Raw genomic sequence first — 23,461 nt, forward strand, 5'->3', positions numbered from 1 at the left:
ATTTATGATAACTAAACCACTGGGGTTTTTTTAAGCAAGCAAATGACAAGATTTGTATTTACAGGGATTACTCAGGCTACAATGTACAGAATCTTCTAGAGTAGGATTTCTCAACCTCAGCACTATTGATATTTGGACTTGATAATTCTTTGTTGTGGAGGGTTGTTCTGTGCATTGCAGGATTTTTAGCAGCATCCCTGGCCTCTTCCACCAAATGCCAGCAACGTCCCACTGCCCCCAGTTGTGACAATGAAAATAGTCTCCAGTCATTGCAATGTCACCTATGAAGCAAAATTGCTCCTGGTTGAGAACTACTGCCCTAGAGGGAAAAGATGAAAGATCAGTCAGATAGAGGTCGTTTACTGGAAAATGTTATAGGGGAAAGAGGGCAGTGCACTTACATTGATTGAAAATGTCTACTATGAGCTGGGGACTTTACATATGTTTTCGTATTTTAAAGTGGGGTATGAGACAAGAGAACCCCACCTCCATCCCCACTGGCCCCTGAAATCCCTTCAGGGTAACCTAAGGTCAATCTCCTAAATTATTAAACCCTAAAACAAACACCATAACCTTCCCTGGCCCCATTTGAGTGCAGTGAAGTCTAATTCCCACGCCATGTCAAAGAGGAGTGTTTGACATTACTCCATGGGTATTAAGTTATTCTGGGTAGGCTTCAAAATCACTTTCCAGTCAGCTCCAAGGGGGAAACAGGCAGAGGTTCTTTGACACAAGCTGGTCAAACTCCATGACTTGGGTGACTTCTTCCTCTGCCCAAGCTCTCGGCCATCCTTGGAGAGCCTCTCCCTGGGGCCCATGCAGTGGCTGAGCCGAGAGCTGAATGCTGGCGCTGGGTCAGTTTTCCTGGTGAGGTCCAACTCAGAGGGACCAGGCAGATGCCTCTGCATTCGCTCAGCAGTCTAACAACTCGGTCTGCTCCTCTGCTCCCACCAACGCCCGCTGGTTGCTGCTGGTATTAATAACATGAGCAGCAGGAGGCTTCGCACCAGGATCAGGGCTGTCTGGATAATTAGCCAGTGGCCTAGGACCAGTGAGTAAATTACTCTGTGACCTGAGAATCCAGCTGGCTACCACCATCACTCAGGCCTGCTCACTTTATTGCTCTCCCCTCCTGCTGCACTCTGTCTAGTTTACATTCAGAGCATTGATTTCATGCCTTTTTGTTTTCCATCTTAGGGTGAGAAGTAGTCACTTTGGGGAGACTGGTTCTCAGGTCAGTGGGATGGCTGTAGTGACATGGGAAAGAGGAATATTGGAGTTTTTGTTTTGTGCAATCATTTAGTGAGTCCCAGCATGTCAGCACCTGCTCTCTGTGGCATTCCCAAATGCATTTCAATCTTTTTTATCAGAGTTGTGACGTTCTCTAATAAACTGCATATATATATTTGCATATTGGAGAAGGAAAGGGTAGAGAAAAAACTCTCACGTCACTCCCAACTTACACACTCCATGCCAAGACTATCAAATGGGAAAGTGCATTCAAGTTAATTTTCCCAAATGCTGTGGTCTTCTTGGAGCATTTGCACAAACTGTTTCCTTTGCCTAGAGCACTATTTGTTCTCCCTTTTACCCCACTTTCACTCACCTTTCAAGTCTTTCTTAGACATTACTCTCCCCAGGAAGCTTTTCCTAACCCATTTGGTTGCTCACTCCTCTGGGCTCCCAAAGCATCCTATTCCATATTACATGACTAATCCCAGTTTGTGGCAATTACCTGTTTTCTTGTCTGTTACGTCTTTCAGATCATGAGCTTGGTGAGAACAAGAACCAGGCCACATCTGTACCAGGCCCCCATTTAAGTAGCCAATGAAAATTAATAAACTGACATAGAAAGATATCAATAAATTCTACTTTCCAGGCAGACCTGATTCCCAGCTTTAACCCAGCCAAGGCACCCACTTAGACACCCAGCAGCGTTCTCCACAGAGTTGTCACAAGCATTCTCAATGGGAAACCTACAGCTTCAGCAGAACTTCCTTCTCATTTCATGGAATTACCAACTGCATCTCTCCCTCTTTTCAACTCACCAATTTCTATAAATGCATCTGAAGATAATTCTGTAATTCTCATTTAATGTTTACTTTAACTCCATAATTCATCTAAAAAACGCAAATATTCTGGTTTGGCTGGTTAAACTCCTTTGTAACCTTGATTGAGACATTTACGTGCATTCAGTTTTGATTTCCTCTTGCGTAGAATGAATTTGATCTTTTAAGTGCCTTCCATCCTTAAAGTTTTCTGATTCTAAAATTTGAAGTATATTTTGTAACCCTGTACCATTACAACAGTTCCCACTTTGCTGCAAAATCTTTTTGACAAACGGGATATATAAACAAAATAATTAATTAAAATAGAAATACTTTTTTTTTTCACAAAGGGGCCATAAAGGAGATCATAGTTGGGCCCCTGCTTATTCCTCTAACCTGTCCCCACTCCACTGCTAACTACAAACTGCTTCCAGTTCCTCTCTGCACAAATGCTTTCCTGGCCAAAATGCTTTTACCTGTGCCATTCCCTCTGCTCAGAATGCCCTTTCTCCTCTGTGTACCTAGCAAACTTCCAATTCTGCGTTGAAACCCACCTGTGGCCACATCTTTTAGGATGTCTCTTTTAACTTGGGATAGAGCACCAAGCAATGGGGAAGAGTTTGGACTGGGAAGTCAAGCAGACCCAGGACTCTAATTTGGCCCACCAAGTGCCAGCTGTGATACTATGGGAACGTGACTTACTTGATCTGACTGAGCCTCAGCCTCCTCATCTGTGAATGGGATGATAGCAGTTCCTACCTCCTGGGGCTGTTGGGATTGAATGAGGTAACTCAAGCAAAGCATTTGGCTCACCTCCAAGCAAATAATATGCACAATATGAGTCTTAGCTATTATTATTAATTTTCCCAAGTTAGAATTAATCATTTCTAATACACATTTTTAGCTGCACCTTACATTTCTGCCTCCCTATAACTTGTGACCTTCTTAGAAGTCAGAGACTGACTTACTCCTATCTGTATCTCCAGAACTGTGCATAACGCCCAGCATGTAAGTAGTCAATTATACATCTAGAAGAGTATTCTTCAAAGAACAAGATTTAGAACTTTAAAATAAAAATAAAAAGTGTGCAACTTGTTATGTGATAATATTCCAGATTGGCTGGGGCACTTTTGTATTCATGTTCCCATTTTTATTTTGATTCTCACATGAATTAATATGTCAAGTATTATTATCTCTAGTTCACAAATGAGAGAGCAGAGGACCAGAAGAATTTGGTTTTGGGCCAGAGTTACAGAGGAGGTTGCAGAACTCAAACCTGTATCACTTTTATCCCCTCTTATGTTTCTCTTGCCCCCAAAGAGGAATAGCTAAACCACTCTTTTTTTTTTTTTTTTTTTTTTTTTTTGAGATGGACTTTCGCTCTTGTTGCCCAGGCTGGAGTGCAATGGCACGATCTCGGCTCACTGCAACCTCCACCTCCCAGGTTCAAGCAATTCTCCTGCCTCAGCCTCCCAAGTAGCTGGGATTATAGGCATGCACCACCATGCCCAGATAATTTTGTATTTTTTAGTAGAGACAGGGTTTCACCATGTTGATCAGGCTGGTCACTCTTAAATCTCAGGTGTAAGATTTTAAACATCGATAAGTGATCTGACACCCAGCACCTAATGAAAGCAGGTGCCGGGAAGGGGGACCCTTCTCTGAGATGCCATGCCCAATGGTGACCACAGTCCTCGCTTCTCAGGATGCCCTGGAGATAGCATGCCATGTGCTGTACATTTAGCCCTCAGCATTCAGAGGGGACATTGCTTTCTGTCAGTGCTTCAGACTCCTTCAGCTTTTCCTGTGCTTTTGTGCAGCTGAGAAGGTGAAGCATACGGGTATCAAAAGCTGCAAACAGTCCCTACCTCTGGAGGCAGGCATTTACTAGGAGAAAGAACGGACCAATGGCTTCCCAGAGCATTGTTCAGCCACATTAGAGAAAGGATTAAGCAGATACATTCAGCTATTCTAACAGATTTTCTTTAAGCCTTGAATACGCCTCTCACACTCACTCAGATAATCACATTAGTTTTGTCATTAAAAGATCCCTTTTATAGAAAGTACCTAAACCGCTTAAACCACCCAGAGAGGTTGCATACATTATCAAACACCAAGACAAACAAAAGGGATTTTCTGTCCCACATCTCAGTTTTCCTTTTTCCTCAAAAAATTTGGGAAATTAAGGTAGAAATGATTTTGCCAAATGGTCAGTGGCTGCAGAGCAACCCTCACTCCTTCCTTCCCTGGATAGTCCCTCTGCAATCAGAACTGGGAAGACTGGAAAACAACTTCAGCATTGAGGCTGGCAGAAAACAGTTTAGAATGAGATGAAGACAGCAAGGGCAAGGAGGGGGTAGAAAGGAGCGTGCTTGCCTCTCTGCCACAGGAAATTGCATTTGGAACTGAAAAAGAGTAGAAAAGCACAGGACTTGGAATCAGGCAACTACCACTTACTAGATCTGTGGTCATGGTTGGGGAGAGAAGGGAGTCACTTCATTTATCTTGCCTCACGGTCCTCATTTATAAAATTGAGACAATACGTATTTCTCCTCTCACTCAGGGTGTTTGTGGGACTAAAATGAGAAAAGGTAAGCAGAAGAGTTCTGAGGTCTATAAAGTATGATTCAAGCATTAAAGGGGAGATTTTATTTGTTTCTTTTTTAAATAGGCCTCATGATAGAAGCTACGTGTTTTGGGGTTTGTTTTGCTTTGATTTTTCACAGTAATGTGTGGTGCCTAACTACTGGCATATAATGAGTGCTTAGCAACTTTTTCTCAATGAATAGTGCTTTTACTGTCTTTCCCTCAAGTCCCCAACCATACTGCAAACTCTCATCCCTCAAATCGCAGTTTGAATGTTGCTTCTCCTTTAAAGCCTTCCTCAGAACTTTAGGAGGAGTTCATCACATCTGCATTCACACTCCCACAGCATCCTGAATGCAACACAGATTCTTAGCCCAATGTGTGTAATCATCTGACATTGTGACTGTCTTTCCCCATGAGCCTTGAGCTCCTTGAGAACACTGAGCTTTACCTTTAAACAGTTAAACTCCTTAACACTATACCTTCACAAAGTTGCCGTTGAATAAATGTTTGAGTGAATGAATGATAAGTAAACAAACAATCCAAAGAATTGGGGTTATTTGGCCTAGAAAAGAGGAAGTATCTCAAGAATCAGTCCCCAAAATTAAGTTTATTAAATTTGCAGATTAATGTCTATACTAGACGTTGTGCTATTGCGCTGTGTAGAGGATAAAGTGTAAGGCTATTGAGTTAACAATCAGTTTTTCATTTCGTATGCAGGGTAAAACTTGAGGAAAGGGTCTTAAATTATGATGGGAAAAATTTAGATTCGACCTAGTTAACATCGACACTATTGCCACTTGGGGCCAGTTAATTCTTTGTTACGGGGGAGCTGTCCTGTGCATTGTAAGATGTTTAGCATCATCCTTGGTCTGTATCAGGGATGTCGCTGGCACGCCCCCACCCCAGCTGTGACAACTAAAACCATCTCCAGCATTGCCAGCTGTCCTCTAGGAGGCAAAATTGCTACAAATTGAGAACCACTGTTTTAGATCTAAAGAACAAACTCAGGTGAGGGTTCTGTGGCATCAGAAAAGGAGACGGAAGAGATGGTAGATCTGAATGTAAGCTCGTTGAAGATAAAGCAGATGGGTGTTTTACTGATTTATATTTTACCTTTGAAGGGAGGTAGATTGACCAAATGAACTGACATCATATGGTAACATATGAAATGTCTTCTGTTAACCATAAAAGAGACTTCTGAAATAGGAATAATCTGATAGTTCTTTGATGATGAGAGGCCATTTATCAAATCATCTGGCTTCTTCCACTTCTGTAAATTTATTCAAGGACACTTACTGTACATTATCAGTGTCATGGCACTTCCTATTTTTTATTTTTTATTATACTTTAAGTTCTAGGGTACATGTGCACAACATGCAGGTTTGTTACATATGTATACATGTGCGTGTCATGGCACTTTCTATATCTCCTTAGCACACAGCTTCATTTAGAGTTTAGTATCTTGGAGTTATTGATTGACAGTTTTTTTTTTAACTTTCTTTCTTTAGCTGTGCATCCCTACATTTTAGGAGTTACAAAACAAAGAAAAACAGTTAACACCACTCCACCAAATGAATAGAGGAAATTTAGTAAAGATGTCAACCTCTCTGTATTGGAAGAAGCTCCTTGTTGCTTGTCTTGACCCTGCCTCCCATCGCTGAGGAGTCTAGTTCACCTCTAAGCCAAGTAGGATGAGAGTATATTTGGTGTCTGAGCTCATTTTTGAATCTACTTCATTTGTGTTACCACACATTATTCATTCCCCCTGTTCAACTATCTACTAAGACATTTAAACTGGCCAAGAAACATCTATCTAGCAAAATTTTGGCTGAGAGTGTTCCTCCAAATAGAATAATCTATTTCTAAATTAAACCAGATTAGCAAAAATGTGTACACCTGTAATATAGTTCCTTTGTTCACTGTAAAATCATTGTTATACTCTGGTGTTATGACTTTCGTTTATACTGAAAGAATGTACAAGTATGAATACAATGAAATCTATAAATATGTGAAGAGAGATTAGAGCTCCCACTCATACTTTTCCCATTTCTGAGGTTCTTCCAGTAAGTTCCCGCGTGGGCTTCTCCAGATTAATTGGTCTGTTTTTATCTGCTGCACAGAGTAAACTGTTTAACTGCTTTTATTTTTGTTTTCTGCTAGAAAGCTTAGAGCCAGATTTTCTTAGCCCTCATCTTCAGAAAATATGTAGACTTCTATGGCAGTATTTCCCAACAGGTGCTCAGCAGAGCACTAGTTTCTCAAATGTTGCATTTAAAGAGTTTCAGATCAAATAAATTTGAGAAATGTCACATTCTTGTTAATTCACAATGAGTGAAATGTTACATGAAAAAGGGTTCTGGATCAAATAAGTTTTGGGGAAAAAAACCTTAGTTTTGGAAAGTTTTTTTATTGTTTCACAATGTTTATAGCATATTAAAGGTTTGAGAGATTTGGTAATAAAGATAATCTGTTTAAACTTGTTTCAACCATTGCCCATGTTCAAATACTTTTGCTCATGGTATCCCTTTTTTATGTAACACCTGCTAACATCTGGCCTTAACAGCATTCTGCAGAATCCAGTTGATAAATCCCGCCTTATGGTTTCCATTCCTAGATCCATTTTACATCTCTAACCCTTTTAAATCTCTTATGTCCCACTTGTGCTGTGTTCAGTGTATATCTGTTTTGTGTGTGTGTGTGTGTGTGTGTGTGTGTGTGTGTGTGTTTTGAGATGGAGTCTTGCTCTGTCACCGAGGCTGGAGTGCAGTGGCGTGATCTCGGCTCACTGCAACCTCTGCCTCCGAGGTTCAAGCAATTCTCCTGCCTCAGCCTCCTGAGTAGCTGGGACTACAGGCGCGTGCCACCATGCCTGGTTAATTTTTTGTATTTTTAGTAGAGATGAGGCTTCACCATGTTAGCCAGAATGGTCTCGATCTCCTGACCTCGTGATCCTCCAGCCTCAGCCTCCCAAAGTGCTGGGATTACAGGCATGAGCCACCACGCTCAGCCTCAGTGTGTATCTTTAGATCATCTGAAATCCTTTCAGAACAAAGTGTGACAAAAATACATGAATAACTAATAAACATGTTGAGCTGTATGACTTTGTGTTGGGATTCACTCAGGATGGTGGCAGAAATATTAAAGGGAAATATTAGGGAAAGTTATAGGGAATAGTCACGAACCTTTTTGGAAGGCCGAAAGGTTACATAGCTTCTAATAGTTGAACAGGCTGAAGGCAGCCAGTTCTTACCTTACAGCATTAGGTCATAGGGTAAATAGTAGGGACAATAGAGGCTTCCCCATTTAAGTCTGTTTACCTTACCTCCATTAACTAACCTTTGAACCAGATGGCCCTCTCCAAGGCGGTGTGGAGGTCTACCAGGAATATTGCCCCCTAATGGTATTTATTTTAAACCGCAGTACCTGAGCTTTAATCATTCGTGGAACTACTCTGTTAACCACGTTAATTATCCACAAGTGTGTGGACTCAAAGCTTCTGTTGTTAATTGTATACTAAATAAATGCCTGAAGTGCGAGCTGCTCAGGGCCGGCCACAGTAACAAACCTCTCTTGGTGTGCAGGCAGTCGGGCACTCAGCAGGACTGGCAAAACAGAATATCTGTGTGTCAGTGTACGTTTTATTCATCTGTCCTTTAGGCCAGGGTCTGCAGGCAGAACCCCACAGCTAATGACCTCTTGTGAGAAGCAATACCTCAACCTTAGGCAAGTAACTTTCACATTTGAGTTTCTTGTTAAAGATGTTAGCCACATTAAACAAACACAAAGAGATAAATGATCCCAAGATTGCTTTCCAGGTCTGCTGTTGGAAGATTCTATCTTTCCATTCCCATTACTAAAGATAGCAAAGTTTATTGGCACCAACCCCACACCCCACCACATCCCTTTTTTTTTCTTTTTTTTTTTTTTTTAAGACAGGGTCTCTCTCTGTTGCCCGGGCTGGAGTGCAGTGGCATGATCATGGGCCACAGCAGCCTTGACCTCCCAGGTTCAAGTGATCCTCCCACTTCAGCCTCTTGGGTAGCTGGGACTACAGGCATGCACCACCATGCTCAACTAATTTTTTTAAAGAAATTTTTTGCAAGGCAATACATGATATGGCCCAGGCTGGTTTGGAACTCCTGGGCTCAAGTGATCCTCCTGCCTTGGCCTTCCAAAGTGCTGGGGTTATAGGTGTACGCTACCACACCCAGCCCCAACCCATTCTTTGACTCCTTGAATGGCTGTGTTCAATGTTCTGTTCCCACCTAACATCAAGGCAAAATTACATTCAACTACCTTGACAGAGAGTTCCAGCCTGATAGAGTGGAAGAGGGAGCCCGGCACATGCAGTTCAAGTGAGGGTAAATCAGAAAGTCCAAGTTTCAGAGGTACTGAGTACTGGAGATCCCCTTTCCAAAATCCAGGGAAGCCAAGGGCACAAGGTTACATGGGCACATCAGAGCTCCGAAAGGTACATGGCTATAGAAAGAGATCAATAGAAATCCTGATCTTTCTGCCCTAAAATGTATTCATTAAATATAAATGTATGGAGGGCCTACTGTGTCCTGCCTGCCAGGACCTGTGCTAGATTGCTGATCATTAGAAGGAATAAGATATAGTCCTTGTCTTCAGAGAGCTTGGTTTTCCTAAAAACAGGATGAGAACACTAAGCAAAATATTATAACTTAGGATATGTATACCAACTTAGAGGTGGTCAGGTACTGTTTACAGTGCTAGAAAAGAAGACAGACAATCCCCACCTTGGTGGAGTTTACATTCTAGCAGACACACTAAGTGTAAGCCTGGTTCTGTGAGAGCACAGACAAGGAATTACTTCCTTTAGGAAAGCTGGGAGAGACTTCAGAGGGAAGGTAGTCAAATTGTTCCAGGCTTTAAATGATGCACAGCAGTTTACCAGTAAAAAAAATATTGGAGGTTGGTGCTGAGAAAGGAATTTTAGACAGAAGAGCAGTATTTCAGAATTATGAGAAGTTTGGTATACCTGAAGTGCAGGGTTATTAGGAAAGTGAAGGGTGGCAGTAAAAATGGGAAATGAGTCCAGAGAGGTAATTTAAGGAAAGGCTGTAGTGGGGCTCAAGTGGTGTCTTGGATCAGTGGAGTCCTATGCAGAGGAATTAGGATGTTTGGGTATTTCTTTAAAAAGTATCAGGTTAAAGACAGTACACTATAGCTCCTGAAGTATGTTTCTCAAACACTAGCTCCTTGAGCTCATGCTCTGATTGCCATCTACTCACCATGACTCTCCAGCACACACTGAGTCAAATTCCATTGACTTTCCTTACTAAATCTTTCTCCAATTTTCCCACTTCTCCTCATCTCCATCTCTACCACTCTAGTCAAACCTACCTTCTTCTCTTAACTTGACAACTGTGACTGGGGTCTCCTACCTTACTTGCTTGTCCCCTACAATGCCTACTCTACTCTATAGCCAGAGTAGTCCTTTTAAATGAAAATCTGTTCGTGTCACTCCCCCGATTAAAGCCCATCAAAGGTTTTTCATCCGCATAATTCTACTTGAATGAGCATTCCCCCTGCCCATGTCTCCATATTCACCTTATGTCACATTCTCTGTGGTTGTTTGCCTTCCCATTGCAGGGGCCTTCTTTCAGTTCCTTGAATATGCTACACTCAGGGCTTTTGCATGTGTCATTTACTCCACTCCTCTTCCTAGTATAGTTCCCATTCATCGTTTAGATCACAGCTAAAATGTAACATCTCAAAAAGGCACTGCTATTCCCCCAGACTACCTTACATTGTCTAAATGCTAAACATTTAACATTTAGTGTTATGAAGAGTTGGGGCCATTAGATTAGAACATTTAGCAATTAATCTCTATTTTCCTATTAGATTGCAATTAATGTCCTAATAAGCTCAACTCTTCGTAACATTTATAATTGTACCAATTCATTGTATAACTTGACATTTCGTGTCTTTCTCCCAGCAGAACACAAACCTTATTAAATTAGGTGCTGTGTTTGCTTTTTCGCCATTGCATTTTTTAGGTTTTAGACCAATGCCTTATGCCTAGGAGATGCTCTGTTAAGAATAGAAAAAGCTGGCCAGGCGCGGTGGCTCACGCCTGTAATTCCAACACTTTGGGAGGCCGAGGCGGGCAGATCACGAGGTCAGGAAATCGAGATCATCCTTGCTAACACGGTGAAACCCCGTCTCTACTAAAAAAAAAAAAAAAAAAAAAAAAAAAAAAAAAATTAGCCGGGTGTGGTGGTGGGCACCTGTAGTCCCAGCTACTCCGGGGGCTGAGGCAGGAGAATGGCGTGAACCTGGGAGGCGGAGCTTGCAGTGAGCCGAGATCGCGCCACTGCACTCCAGCCTGGGCAACAGAGCGAGACTCCGTCTCCAAAAAAAAAGTTGTATTCTCAATCACCATTTTGGAGAGTCACATACTATTTACAGATAAACGAAGCAACTATTTAACTTCATTTGTCCCATTATTTTCCACACTTGCTCAACTATAGGTATAAGTCTTTCTACTACACAAGTTATTGGCATTTTGTTGGATACCTGTGCTCCAAGAAACACTGTGTGATAGATGTCGTGTGATTGAGTTGCCTGAACTGCTTCCCCAATCCTAAGAAGTACACCTTTGTAACCATGTTTTCATGGCCCTGTTCTTTCCTAACCACCTGAGAGTTGTGCATTTGTGAGGTATTGCTCCCTCAGAGGGTCGAGGACACCATTCTAAGAAGTCATTATGGGCATTGTGCGAGTAGAGAAAAGTAAGCTGGTCTGTAGAGGGAGAATAAAGCAGTCATGGGAAGAGAAGCATTAGGCAGGGCTCCCACACTCAAATGAGTCAGGCAGGATGACAGAAGTAAGATAACTGAATTCAAATTCAAATTCCAGATTCTTTCAACTAGGGGCTCTCAAAAGTGTGATGCTCCAGCATCACCTGGGAACTTGTTAGAAATGCACCTTCCCAAGATCCACCCCAAGACATGTTAGAAACTCTGGGATGGGGCTCAGCAATCAGCATTTTTACAAGCCCTTTTGGGTAATTCTGATGCACGCTTTAGACTGCCTATCGAACTGTAGACATCTGACGAACAAATCCAAACCACAGTCTGACAATGGGTCACCTCTGTTGAAAGTGAAACAGAACACAGCAGTACTGATTTTTAATGACTTTCCAGACCCTAGTTCTAGTTCCCCATGATTCCTGGTAACCCAAGTCCTGGAGCTGATCTGGCAGTTTCAAAACATTTCTTTTCCTTAAGCTGGTTTTGTGGGCTTTTGTTGCTTGAATCCAAACAAAAATAAAACTGTACCAGTAAAATGAAGCAAACAAAATTTGCCAAAAAGGAGCCCCAGTTCTGCCCCAGTTTTGCCAAAAAGGAGCTGTGAGGCCGTAGATAAGTTCCTTCTCTCTAAGCTACAATTCTATCCCTTACAAAATGATGCAGTTGAACTGGATATCTCAGGGGCCTTCACCCTCTACTATGCTGGCTTAGACACTGGCTCCTCTGGATAACCTCTTGGCGCTACAGATTCCTTATGAAGGTTCTCCTAAGTTACTTTAGTTCTACCCATTGACTCCAGGCAGTTAAAGTAACAAAAACAGAAAATAAAAAGCACCCAATTCTTTCTAAGCTCTTGGGAGCTGAAAAAAATAAAAATAGAAAGCACTCAAGTCTCCATGTCTCTCTTTCCCTGTCAGTAAAAAGTGCAGTTTTATTAGAGGGATGCTTTAAATAATAAGGCTTATCTGACACTCCAATTCTTTTTCATGTTAAAATTAAACCTTAGCATATTATAATTATACTCACTTCAATTAAGGCTGCTATCTATATTCCTAAAATGCATACAGTAATAGGATACAATTATGCTTGCCAAAAAATTCTATTTTTTGCAGTTTGTTTCTTCAGAATAATGTAACTCATCCAAATAATCAACATCAAATAAAATGGCAAAGTATTTTAAAGATTCTACACAAGGGAAAAACCCTAAAATCGTAAAATAAATTGTAAGAATATCCTCTATTGAGCCCATAAACCCTGCATTATTTAATTTCTTAGTTGACAAAGAATAAAAACTAGTATTGTTTTGGCCCTTAAATTCCCACCCAAATCGATTGTTCTGTGATGCTGAAACAAAATAGTTACCAAATGCTTTGATAGACAACTCATTACAATGAGAACTGAAGGCTCCCAAAATAAGACAAAGATTTTCCTGTATCTCCCAGATGCCAGGGAAAGTAAAGGAAATATTTCAGCTTTCCATCCCAAGAATGAACTCTATATATGCCCTTAAAAAAAAAAAATGCCATAAAAATGATCAAGCTCAAGGTACAGTTTTTTAAAAGCAGAAAATGTTCCCAAGGCAGGGTGAAGAAAAAAAAATTATTGAGAGAAAATGAAAAGAAACAAGGAGGAAGAAATCTTTCAACAGAGTAGAAACTGTTAGTCTCTCTCTCTCTGTCTCTCTGTGTCCCTGAAAGGTTTTGATCCAACCCTATTTGTTATCCTAGAAAAGCTCTCTGAAGAAAGGTCTCAGTGTAAGAACTGCTTGAAAGAAGCCAACCCCTTGGAAATAGGAATGGCTTGGCCATTTATTAATGTCAAATATGCTGCCTGCATGAATTAGTCAGCTTGTCTTTTGGAAGTCATACAGAAAAGTTCTTGTGCACCTGCCTGTTAGTGTCTAACACTTCTGGTTTTAATGACAGCAGTAACAACTATCAGAAAATAAAATTTTAAAAATTTAAAAGCTGAATATTACTATATTCTACTTTTGGAATAGCTGATTCATCAATTTTTAAAGGCTTCTTACTGAAATATAATTAGTGACTACAGCATAAAGCTTGCTCAGATTTAAAAAGACAAAACAGAGTCATTTTCCTAAACTGGCAGAATTCAAACAAATTAAAACTGACCTTAGAAACAAAGAGAAATGGAGCAGAAAAAGGCCAGATTTCTTACTGGCAGTACCACAGTGGCCAACATCCCAGAACTAAGAAAAGCTGCCAAGTGGAAGAGAAAAAATTAAAGGACTTTCCAAAAACAGCTAAGCCCAGTGCACACAGCATTTCCATCAGCCGGAGTTGAAGTGAGCTTCAGAAGCAACACACAGGTATAAGGTCCAGCTGTATTATTTATTTACAGCACAGTTCAAAGTCATTAAATCCGGTACAAAAGAAATGGCTCTCACTTCCTGGATTGGCACCAGACATCCTACCAGCTGCAATTACATCATTTTTTATCTATCTTCTGCTTTTACTTTGTGTAGGGTAGGGATGGGGACTTACAAATGGGCCAAAGACACTTCAACCTCAAAACCAAAGAGAAATCTCTGCTTGCAGAGATACAAAGAAAGTAACTCTCCCTCTTATGAAAAGCAACCAGGAACTCTACTCCAGTTATGAGGGCCACTGATGGTGTGGGAGAGCTATCAAGAAGATTCTTCCTAGACGTGGTGCAAAGACAGTGAGAACCCAGGAAATCACATTCATGGGACACTTGCTCTTACCGTCATCACCCTCTATTCTATCTCAACTTTGGCCCCATCAAATCTAATGATAAACAAAAGAAGGTAATTACATGTAGAAAATCAAAGTGAATGGGAATGTGGTGGTGTGAACATAAAAGAAGAAATTGAAAACAATCAAAAGTTTCTCAGTGCTGCTTTCCCGCACTGTCATAGAAATCTCTGATCCAATTCTTCATATGTCTAACTTCCAAGGAGCGGGCTAACAGCACAGACATAGGATCCAAGGCATTCTTGGTGCGGAGATCTAAGTGGTGGGCCCCCTCTGAGATGGTGACTGCAACCAGAGTGTCTGTGATATCCTTAGTTACTCCACCTCCTGACCAGGGGTCTAGTTCACCATTGCTGCAAGTGAAAAAAAGAAGAAAAAATAAAGTTGTTAGTTTTTCATGTTAACACTCAGATAAGCTAGAAGAAACCTATTACATGTTTAACACCTAAAATTATAAACTTGTAACCTGGGGGATTTGATCTGAGGATCTAATTTATCATATGGATAGATACTTCATACTGGAGTTTTGCAATATTCATGCAACCAGGTGCAAAAAAAGAACCAGAGATAATTGAAGGAGGCGTTCCCACAAATCAACCTAGACTGTACTGGGATATGAAATTTAGAAACCTGAATTTCAATCCTGATTTCATTATTCAAAAGTTATATAATGCAAGTTACCTGACTCAGTTTCCTCATCTGTAAAATGGAGATAACATGCCAGGCGCAGTGGCTCATGCCTGTAATCTTTGCTCTTTGGGAGGCCAAGATGGTGAATCGCTTAAGCCCAGGAGTTCAAAACAAGCCTGGGCAACATGGTGAAACTCCGTCTTCTCGAGGGAGGGAAGAAGGGGGAAAGGGAGGAAAGAAGAAAGGGAGGGAGGGAGGGAGGAAAGGAGAAGGCTGCATTTTTTATCTAATATAGTACAGTACTTTGGGAAACAGGATGGTAGATCTAAAAAATGTCACCAGGATCTGGAATCCGAAAATTTGGGCATTACACGAAAATCTTCATTTTACATTAGCTTTAAAGTTAAGGAAATGCTACTAGGTTTTTAGTCTCAGCTGGTTCACACAACACAATTCAGAATAATGTAAAGAGAATCAGTCACTGAAACTGAGTATCTACTTTCACTGAGTAAAAAATCCAATACAACCACAGACAGCATCCCTAATAATATTTCTGAACAGTTTTGTTGAGATATAATTCATCTACCACAGAATTTGTCCATCTAAAACACATAATTCGATGGTTTTTAGTATACTCAGAGTTGTGCAACCAGCACCACAATCCATTTTAGAACACTTTCGTCACCCCAAATAGAAACCCATACTCATTAGCAGTCACTCCCCATCTTCCTGCCTTGCTCTCAGCCTCAGGAAACCATGAATCTATTTTCTGAATCTATAGATTTGCCTATTCTGGACATTTCATACAAATGGAATTAAATAGTAGGCGGTCTTTTGTAACTGGTCTCTTTCACTCAGCGTAATGTTTTCAAGTTTCACCCATGTTGTGGCATGAATCAGTACATGTTCCTTTTTATTGCCAAATAATATTTCATTTATGGATACATCATGTTTTATTTATCTCTTCATCATTTGATGCACGTTTGTATTGTTTCCACTTTTTGGCTAATGAGTACTGCTCCTTTGAACATTCACATACAAGTTTTTGTGTGGATGCATGATTTCACTTCTCTTAGGCATATACTTAGGAATTTCTAGGATATATAGTAACAACCTATTAATTAGCTACCAGACTACTTTCCAAAGGGACTACACCATTTTATATTCCCAGTAGCAACATTTGAGGGTTCCACTTTCTCTACATCTTCAACACTTATTATTATCTGTCTATTTTAGACATCCTAAGCTAGTAAGTATTAAATGGTATTTCACTGTGGTTTTAATTTGCATTTCCCAAGAGACTGATGGTATTTAAACATCTTATGTGCTGATTGGCCATTTTTATATCTTCTTTGGGAAAATGCCTAGTCATATCTTTGTTCATTTTTTAACTAGGGTTATATATCTTTCTATTTTTGAGTGAGAGCTCACACTCTCTTAACTTGTGTGTTGTAGAGTAACAAAAGCATGAGCTTTGGGATCAGACACACTTTGGTTCCAATTTCAGGTCTGCCTCTCATCTGCCTAATCTCATGGAAACAGATTCCTTAGGCAAAAAACTGGCACTGAAATACCTGGATCTAAGTACTCAGCCCATTGCAAGCATTAGATCATTTTCCCCTTGCATGGCACTCTTGGCATATCTTTACCCACATACCACTGGAAATTACTTATAGAACATTTTTATGGGTGTCCTAATATTTGTTTAATGCAAACTCCGTTTTGCTGGTATTGTTTACAAAGCCTTATCTATTCTAGATACAAGTCCCTTATCAAATATATGACTTGCAAATATTTTCTCCCATCCTGTAGACTATCTTCTAACTTTCTTGATAGTATCATTTGCAGCACAAGTTTTTCATTTTCATGAAGTCGATTTATCTATTTTTTCTCATTGTTTATGTTTATGGTATGGTATCCAAGAAACTGGTGTCTAACCCACGGTCATGAAGATTTGTTCCTATGTTTTCCTCTATGAGATTTATCATTTTAGCTCTTATATTTAAGCCTTTGACCTATTCTGAGTTGATTTTTTTGTTATAGTATGAAATAGGGAGCCAACCTCATTCTTCTGCATGCGGATCTCCAGTTTTCCCAGCATCATTTGTTGAAAAAACTATTCTTTTCTCAATGAATTGTCTTGCCACTTTTGTTAAAAATCAATATGCCATACATATAAGGTTTGACTTCTGGACACTCGATTCTCTTCCACTTGTCTATATGTCTATCCTTATGCCAGTATCACACTGTATTGACTGTAGCTTTGTAATAAGTTTGAAATCAGGAAGTGTGAGTTCTTCAAGTTCGTTCTTCCTTTTCAAGATTGTTTTGGCTATTCTGGGTCCCATATATTCCTATATGAATTTCAGGATCAGTTTGTCAATTTCTATTTTTTTAAAAAAAAGTCCAGCTGGAAATTTGACAGAGATCACGTTGAATCTGTGGATCAACTTGAGGAGTATAGTCATCTTAATAGTATTAATTCTTCTAATACATAAATATGAGATGTCTTTCCATTTAAAGGAAGCAATTTTTAATGTCTTTGTTTCCAATGTATATATCTTGCACTTCTTTTGTTAAATTTATTCCAAAGCATTTTATTCTTGATGCTATTTAAATCAAATTTTTCCCTAGTATAACATATTATGCATAGATTGCATTCGTGTTTACAAAGCCTTTCACATTTGTTCATTGTAACAACCCTATGAAGTAGGTTTAATTACAATTCTTTTATAAAAGAGAAAACTAATGCCCAAAGAGGTTAAAAGGCTTGCCAAAATCATTTGATTTGGCAAATCTGAGATTCAAACACAGTTCTAAAAACCCTAGTCCAATGCTTAATTTTACACTATGTTGCATTTCAGCGGAACCATGACTGCTGTTGGAAGTCGACAGCTTACACTCTCTTGTGTGCTGCAAAGTAAGAAAAGCATAAGCTTTGGGATCAGACACACTTTGGTTCCAGTCCCAGGTCTGCCTCTCATCTACCTAATCTCATTGAAACAGATTCCTTAGGAAAAAAACTGTCACTGAAATACCTGGATCTGAGTATTCCACCCATGGCATGTATTAGATCACTTTCCCCTTGAATGGTACCTCTCGGCATATCTATACCCACCACTTGAAATCACTTCTAGAACATTTTATGTGTGTCCTGATATTTGTTTAATGCAAACTCCATTTTGCTGGTATTGGTTACAAAGCCTGAAATAAAAAGTCTTCAAGCCCACATTATCAAATACATGAAAATAATTCCCATAATTTGCAAAATCATCAAAAAATTTCTCAGCTATAAGTACAACCTATATACAGATGACTACCAAATAATGTATCTAGCCAGGATTGTTCCCCTAAACTTCAGAACCAAAGTTCAATGGTGTACTTGACATTTTTACATGGAAGTCAAATTAGACACTTGGCAGTTCCTGATGCTCCCCAAATGCCAACCAGCTCCTCCTGCCATCTTCTCCAATCTCTGTCAGTGGGAAGTCTATCCTTTCCATTGTTCAGGCCAAAAAGTTTGATGTCACTCTTTAATCTTTTTGGTCTCACTCTTTAATTTTCTCATTGTTTAACACACAATCTGTCAACAAATCCTGTCATCTATATCTTCAAATATATCCATAATCTGACCATTTTGTATTACCTCCACTGCACAACCCTGATCCAAGTCACCATTATCTCTAGCCTGAGTTACTATAATAGCCTTTTAACTGATCTTCCTGCCTCTACTCTTGTCTCCCTACAATTTAATATCAATAGAGCAGGCAACTTGATCCTGTTAAAACCTGAACCAGATAATGTCATTCCTTTTCTCAAAATGCTCCAAGTTTTCCCATCTCATTCACAGTAAAAACCTAAGTCCTTACTAGAACCAACAAGTTTCTACATGATTCAGGCCCTCTGCTCCCTCCCTGATTTCACCTTCTATTACTCTCTCACTTACTAACTCCACTCCAGCCACACTGACCTTACTCCACGTGAAGAAGAACATGCTGGGGCTCTTTCAAGGCCTTTGCCTTTGGTTAATCCTCTTACCCCACCAACCTCATGGCTAGCTCCTTTACTTCCTCTATATCATTTTTTAAAAGTCACCCCTTGATGAAGTCTTCCCTGGTCACTCTAATAAAAAATTTCAACTGTTTTCCCTCCCTATGACATTTTATAGTCCCCTTCCCCGGTTTACTTTTTTCTCCTTGTCACTCACATCCTTCTAACATATTTATAAGTTCTATCTTGTTTCATTTCCTATCTCTCAAATTAGAACTCCATGAGAGCCGAGATTTTTGTCCATATTGTTTATTTCTACATCTCCAAGTTCCTAGAAGCAGACCTGGCTTAGAAAAGGAGGCCCAAAAAATTTACTGAATGAACTTAAAAAGTGTCTAGTTGTCTGTGGCCTCATACTGGATGCCCATCATAGACATCTATAAATACACGTATGCAAGTTCATAAACATGTTGTAAATCACTTTGGTACTTTTTACGTGGGAAAGAAAAGTTGATATAAATGATTAATAGAAATATAAAGAGATTAACCTTCAGCTGTGTGTTAATAGTGGAAAGAACAATGAATTAATTCAGTAGATCTACGTTGTACATTTTTACTAGCTGAATGACTTTGGGTAAGTTACTGACCCCTGTGAACCTCAATTCTCACTGGATTATAGAAAAAAATGTTTTTTAAGAAAGATAGTACCCTTCTCTCAGAGAACTACTGTGAGACCCAAGTCAAATAATATATGTGAAAATAAATAAACTATAAATACTATACAAATGTGCGATGTCATTATAGTTATTACCATACTCTGTAAGCATAATAAGTATTACCACCACCAAGAGGTAAATGAATCATGAAAATGTAAATGTACAAATTATATGAGAAAAAAACATTTAGGTACATTAAGTATATGTGTGTTTGTAATACAATCTAAAATTGCCTGCGCTGGCCAGGCACGGTGGCTCACACCTATAATCCCAGCACTTTGGGAGGCCGAGGTGGATGGGTCACTTGAGGTAAGGAGTTCGAGACCAGCCTGCCCAATATGGTGAAACCCTGCCTCTACTAAAAATACAACAATTAGCCGGGCGTGGTGGGGCATGCATGTAGTCCCAGCTACTTGGGAGGCTAAGGCAGGAGAATGGCTTGAACCCGGGAGGCAGAGGTTGCAGTGAGCCCAGATCATGCCACTGCAATCCAGCCTGGGTGACAGAGCAAGACTCCATCTCAAAAAAAAAAAAAAAAAAAAAAAAAAAACTACACTCCAGAAGTGTACTTTTTTGGTTTTGTTAAAAACAAAAAGGAACACTCATGTAAAATAGAAGCCTTAGTTTTCAACTACCAGGTAAACTTTTAAAGTAAACTACATAAGGAGTTGGATTCTCTTAAATTAACAAATCGCCTTTATCATTATTCCAAATTGACAAGCCCAACCCAGATAGGAAACTCTCCATTATTTGCAAAACAAAGAAGCTATCCCAACAGCCACATAATAAGCAAACTGCATTTGATTTAAAAGGTCATCTGAAATAGCCTAGTGGCTTAGCAACAGTGTTTGGAGTTGCTGAGAGACCTAAGATGCACATGGACTTGAATTTCTTGGTCCTAGACATGTGAAAGCTAAACCAGTCATTGGAAAATCTACAAAAAAAAAAAAAAAAAAAAAAAAAAATCCTGGCTTTCATGAGAGGATCTAGATGCCTGGGTAAAATTCCCCCAACAGGGAGCTTCACTTAGTCACTGGCAACAATTAATTTGCCTGAGAAATTATGTTAAACTAACCAGCTCCTCAGGGACTCCCTTTTGGATTTATACTAAAATAACTGAAAATGACTATTGGTAAAATAATGCCTACAAGTTGGGAAAGACAATAAAACTCCCCCCAAAAAGCAACTGTGGAATAAAAAAAGAATTGCTGTAATGAGACTATTAACAGGTAAACAAATGTTTACTGATTGCCTATTATATATCAGGCACTGATTGGGCACGGGACTCCACAGTCAACAAAACAGACAAAATCTCTGTTGCTTACTTCCACAATAATTTGTTCCTTGAAATAACCCTGTTAGGTACTCATTATTATTCCTAACTAATATGAATTGGCAATTTGCCCAAGGCCACGCAGCTAATTCAGGGAAGAAGAAAAATGGCATCAAGGTCTACCTGACTTCAAAGCCTTAACAGAAAAATCTCCAATCCAACAGTTAAAGATTAAACTTCCCAACCGGAAAAGCAATCACACTTGGATTCATGTGAGGCAGCCTAAGGAGAGGCCTGGAAACAAAGATTAAGATACTTTCCACAGGGCTCCTTGGACACTTTCTTTTTTTTTTTAATTATACTTTAAGTTCTGAGATACATGTGCAGAATGTGCAAGTTTGTTACATAGGTATACACATGTCATGGTGGTTTGCTGCAGGCATCAACCTGTCATCTACATTAGGTATTTCTCCTAATGCTATCCCTCCCCAACCCTCACCCCCCGACAGGCCCCAGTGTGTTATGTTCCCCTCCCTGAGTCCATGTGTTCTCATTGTTCAACTCACACTTATGAGTGAGAACATATGGTGTCTGATTTTCTGTTCCTGTGTTAGTTTGCTGAGAATGATGGTTTCCAGCTTCATCCATGGCCATGCAAAGGACATGAACTCATCCTTTTTATGGCTACATAGTATTCCATGGTGTATATGTGTCACATTTTCTTTATCTAGTCAATCATTGATGGGTATTTGGGTTAGTTCCAAGTCTCTGCTATTGTGAATAGTGCTGCAATAAACATACATGTGCATGTGTCTTTTTAGAATGATTTTTAATCCTTTGAATATATACCTAGGAATGGGATTGCTGGGTCAAATGGCTCTAGATCCTGGAGGAATTGCCACAGTCTTCCACAATAGTTGAACTAATTTACACTCCCACCAACAGTATAAAAATCTTCCTATTTCCCCACACCCTCTCCAGTATCTGTTGTTTCCTGACTTTTTAATAATCGCCATTCTAACTGGCGTGAAATGGTGTCTCATTGTGGTTTTGAGTTGCATTTCTCTAATGATCAGTGATGATGAGCTTTTTTTCATAAGTTTGTTGGCCGCATAAATATCTTCTTTTGAGAAGTGTCTGTTCATATCCTTTGCCCACTTTCTGATGGGGTTATTTGTTTTTCTCTTGTACATTTGTTTAAGTTCCTTGTAGATTCTAGATATTAGCCCTTTGTTAGATGGACAGATTGCAAAAATTTTCTCCTATTCTGTAGGTTGCCTGTTCACTCTGATGATAATTTATTTTGCTGTGCAGAAGTCTTTAGTTTAATTAGATCCCATTTGTCAATTTTGGCTTTTGTTGCCATTGCTTTTGGTGTTTTAGTCATGAAGTCTTTGCCCATGTCTATGCTTGGACACCTTCTTACTCAGCAACCAGAAATGTTTCACAGCTAGTGGTCATGAAGTACACAGAACAGACACACCTATGGCTGTTCTTTTACTTTGGGAGTGCTGTTTCTTCAGAAAAGTAGGAGAATTTTGAATTTTTTAATTACTTAATTTTTGCATTGTATTTCTCATACCTACCAAACTATAGAAAAAGATTTCTTTGTAGAAGTAGACTTGCCACTGCTAAAAGATAAACCAGCATCTTTACACAGTCTTGCCTTTAAATTTTCACATGCTTCTGAAGCCTTCCTGAGCTGTGTATTTCATTCATCATCCTTATCAACAACCGGCACATTTACTGAGCATTCATTATGCGCCAGTCACTGTAGCAGATGCTAAAGATACAGAGATGATTAAGATGAAGTCCCTGCCAGTGATAAATTCACAATCTCATGGGGCAGATAGAAACGCAAACAGGTAACTACCACATGGAGTGATAAGCGGTATTTACAGGTGCTAGTAGAAGTAAGGGGGAAGTGGAAACCTATCCTCCCTTATGGAATATTTCTTGGAGAAGGTATGAATCTTAAGGAAAATGGAAAAAGAGGATGAGAAAGGACATTCAGGGACCATTTCATGCCAGTTAGAATGGCGATTATTAAAAAGTCAGGAAACAACAGATACTGGAGAGGGTGTGAGGAAATAGGAACATTTTTACACTGTTGGTGGGAGTGTAAATTAGTTCAATCATTGTGGAAGATAGTGTGGCAATTCCTCCAGGATCTAGAGCCATTTGACCCAGCAATCCCATTCCTGGGTATATACTCCCTTTATGTTCTGTGGCTAGAACATAAAGGGCAAGGTGAAGAGTGTACTTTCATTTATTCATTCAACAAATATTTTTTGAGCATAGATATTTGCCAGATCTGGGCCAAGTACTTTGATGGGCTAACTCTTTTAATGCATCACAACAACTTTATGGGGTGAGTGGTATTATTATTCTCACTTCACAAAGGATAAGACTGAGAATCAAAAAAGCTTAAGTAATTTTACTCAAGACAGCTCATTCTACCTTTGTATAGCTCTTCTTGAAAGTCCTTTCTTACACTGAGCTAAAAGTTTCTTACATGGAGCTCTAATTCCTACCCACTTACTTTTCTCACAAAATATGCCCCCTTCTCCAATGATGATGATAATAGTAATGATGATGATGATCATCATCATCGCTTTGACAATCTGAGAAAGATAACATAAAAAAGCAAATGGATAACTAATATACTTGTAAAAGGACTGGAGGAAACGAGCTTCTTGCC

At 39.6% G+C, this 23,461-nt stretch overlaps 1 protein-coding gene and 1 long non-coding RNA gene across 5 annotated transcripts in view; one reads left to right on the forward strand and one right to left on the reverse strand.

The window, feature by feature from the left end:
* The window catches only part of LINC02734 (long intergenic non-protein coding RNA 2734), a 36,240-nt gene extending 29,117 nt beyond the window's left edge, over positions 1 to 7,123 (forward strand). Inside the window, exon 3 of the long non-coding RNA NR_183631.1 lies at positions 6,146 to 7,123. This is a non-coding gene — a long non-coding RNA (long intergenic non-protein coding RNA 2734). The remainder of the gene's footprint in view (positions 1 to 6,145) is intronic.
* Positions 7,124 to 12,317: 5,194 nt separating this feature from the next.
* The window catches only part of PRCP (prolylcarboxypeptidase), a 78,709-nt gene continuing 67,565 nt past the window's right edge, over positions 12,318 to 23,461 (reverse strand). For all 4 annotated transcript variants that reach the window (NM_001319214.2, XM_005274093.2, NM_005040.4 and 1 more), the window contains one exon: positions 12,318 to 14,504. In NM_001319214.2, coding sequence (NP_001306143.1) covers positions 14,288 to 14,504 — 217 coding nt within the window. In that variant the 3' untranslated portion in view covers positions 12,318 to 14,287. The remainder of the gene's footprint in view (positions 14,505 to 23,461) is intronic.

The sequence above is a fragment of the Homo sapiens genome, chromosome 11 (assembly GCF_000001405.40).
Source record: "Homo sapiens chromosome 11, GRCh38.p14 Primary Assembly".
NCBI classification, from domain to species: domain Eukaryota; kingdom Metazoa; phylum Chordata; class Mammalia; order Primates; family Hominidae; genus Homo; species Homo sapiens.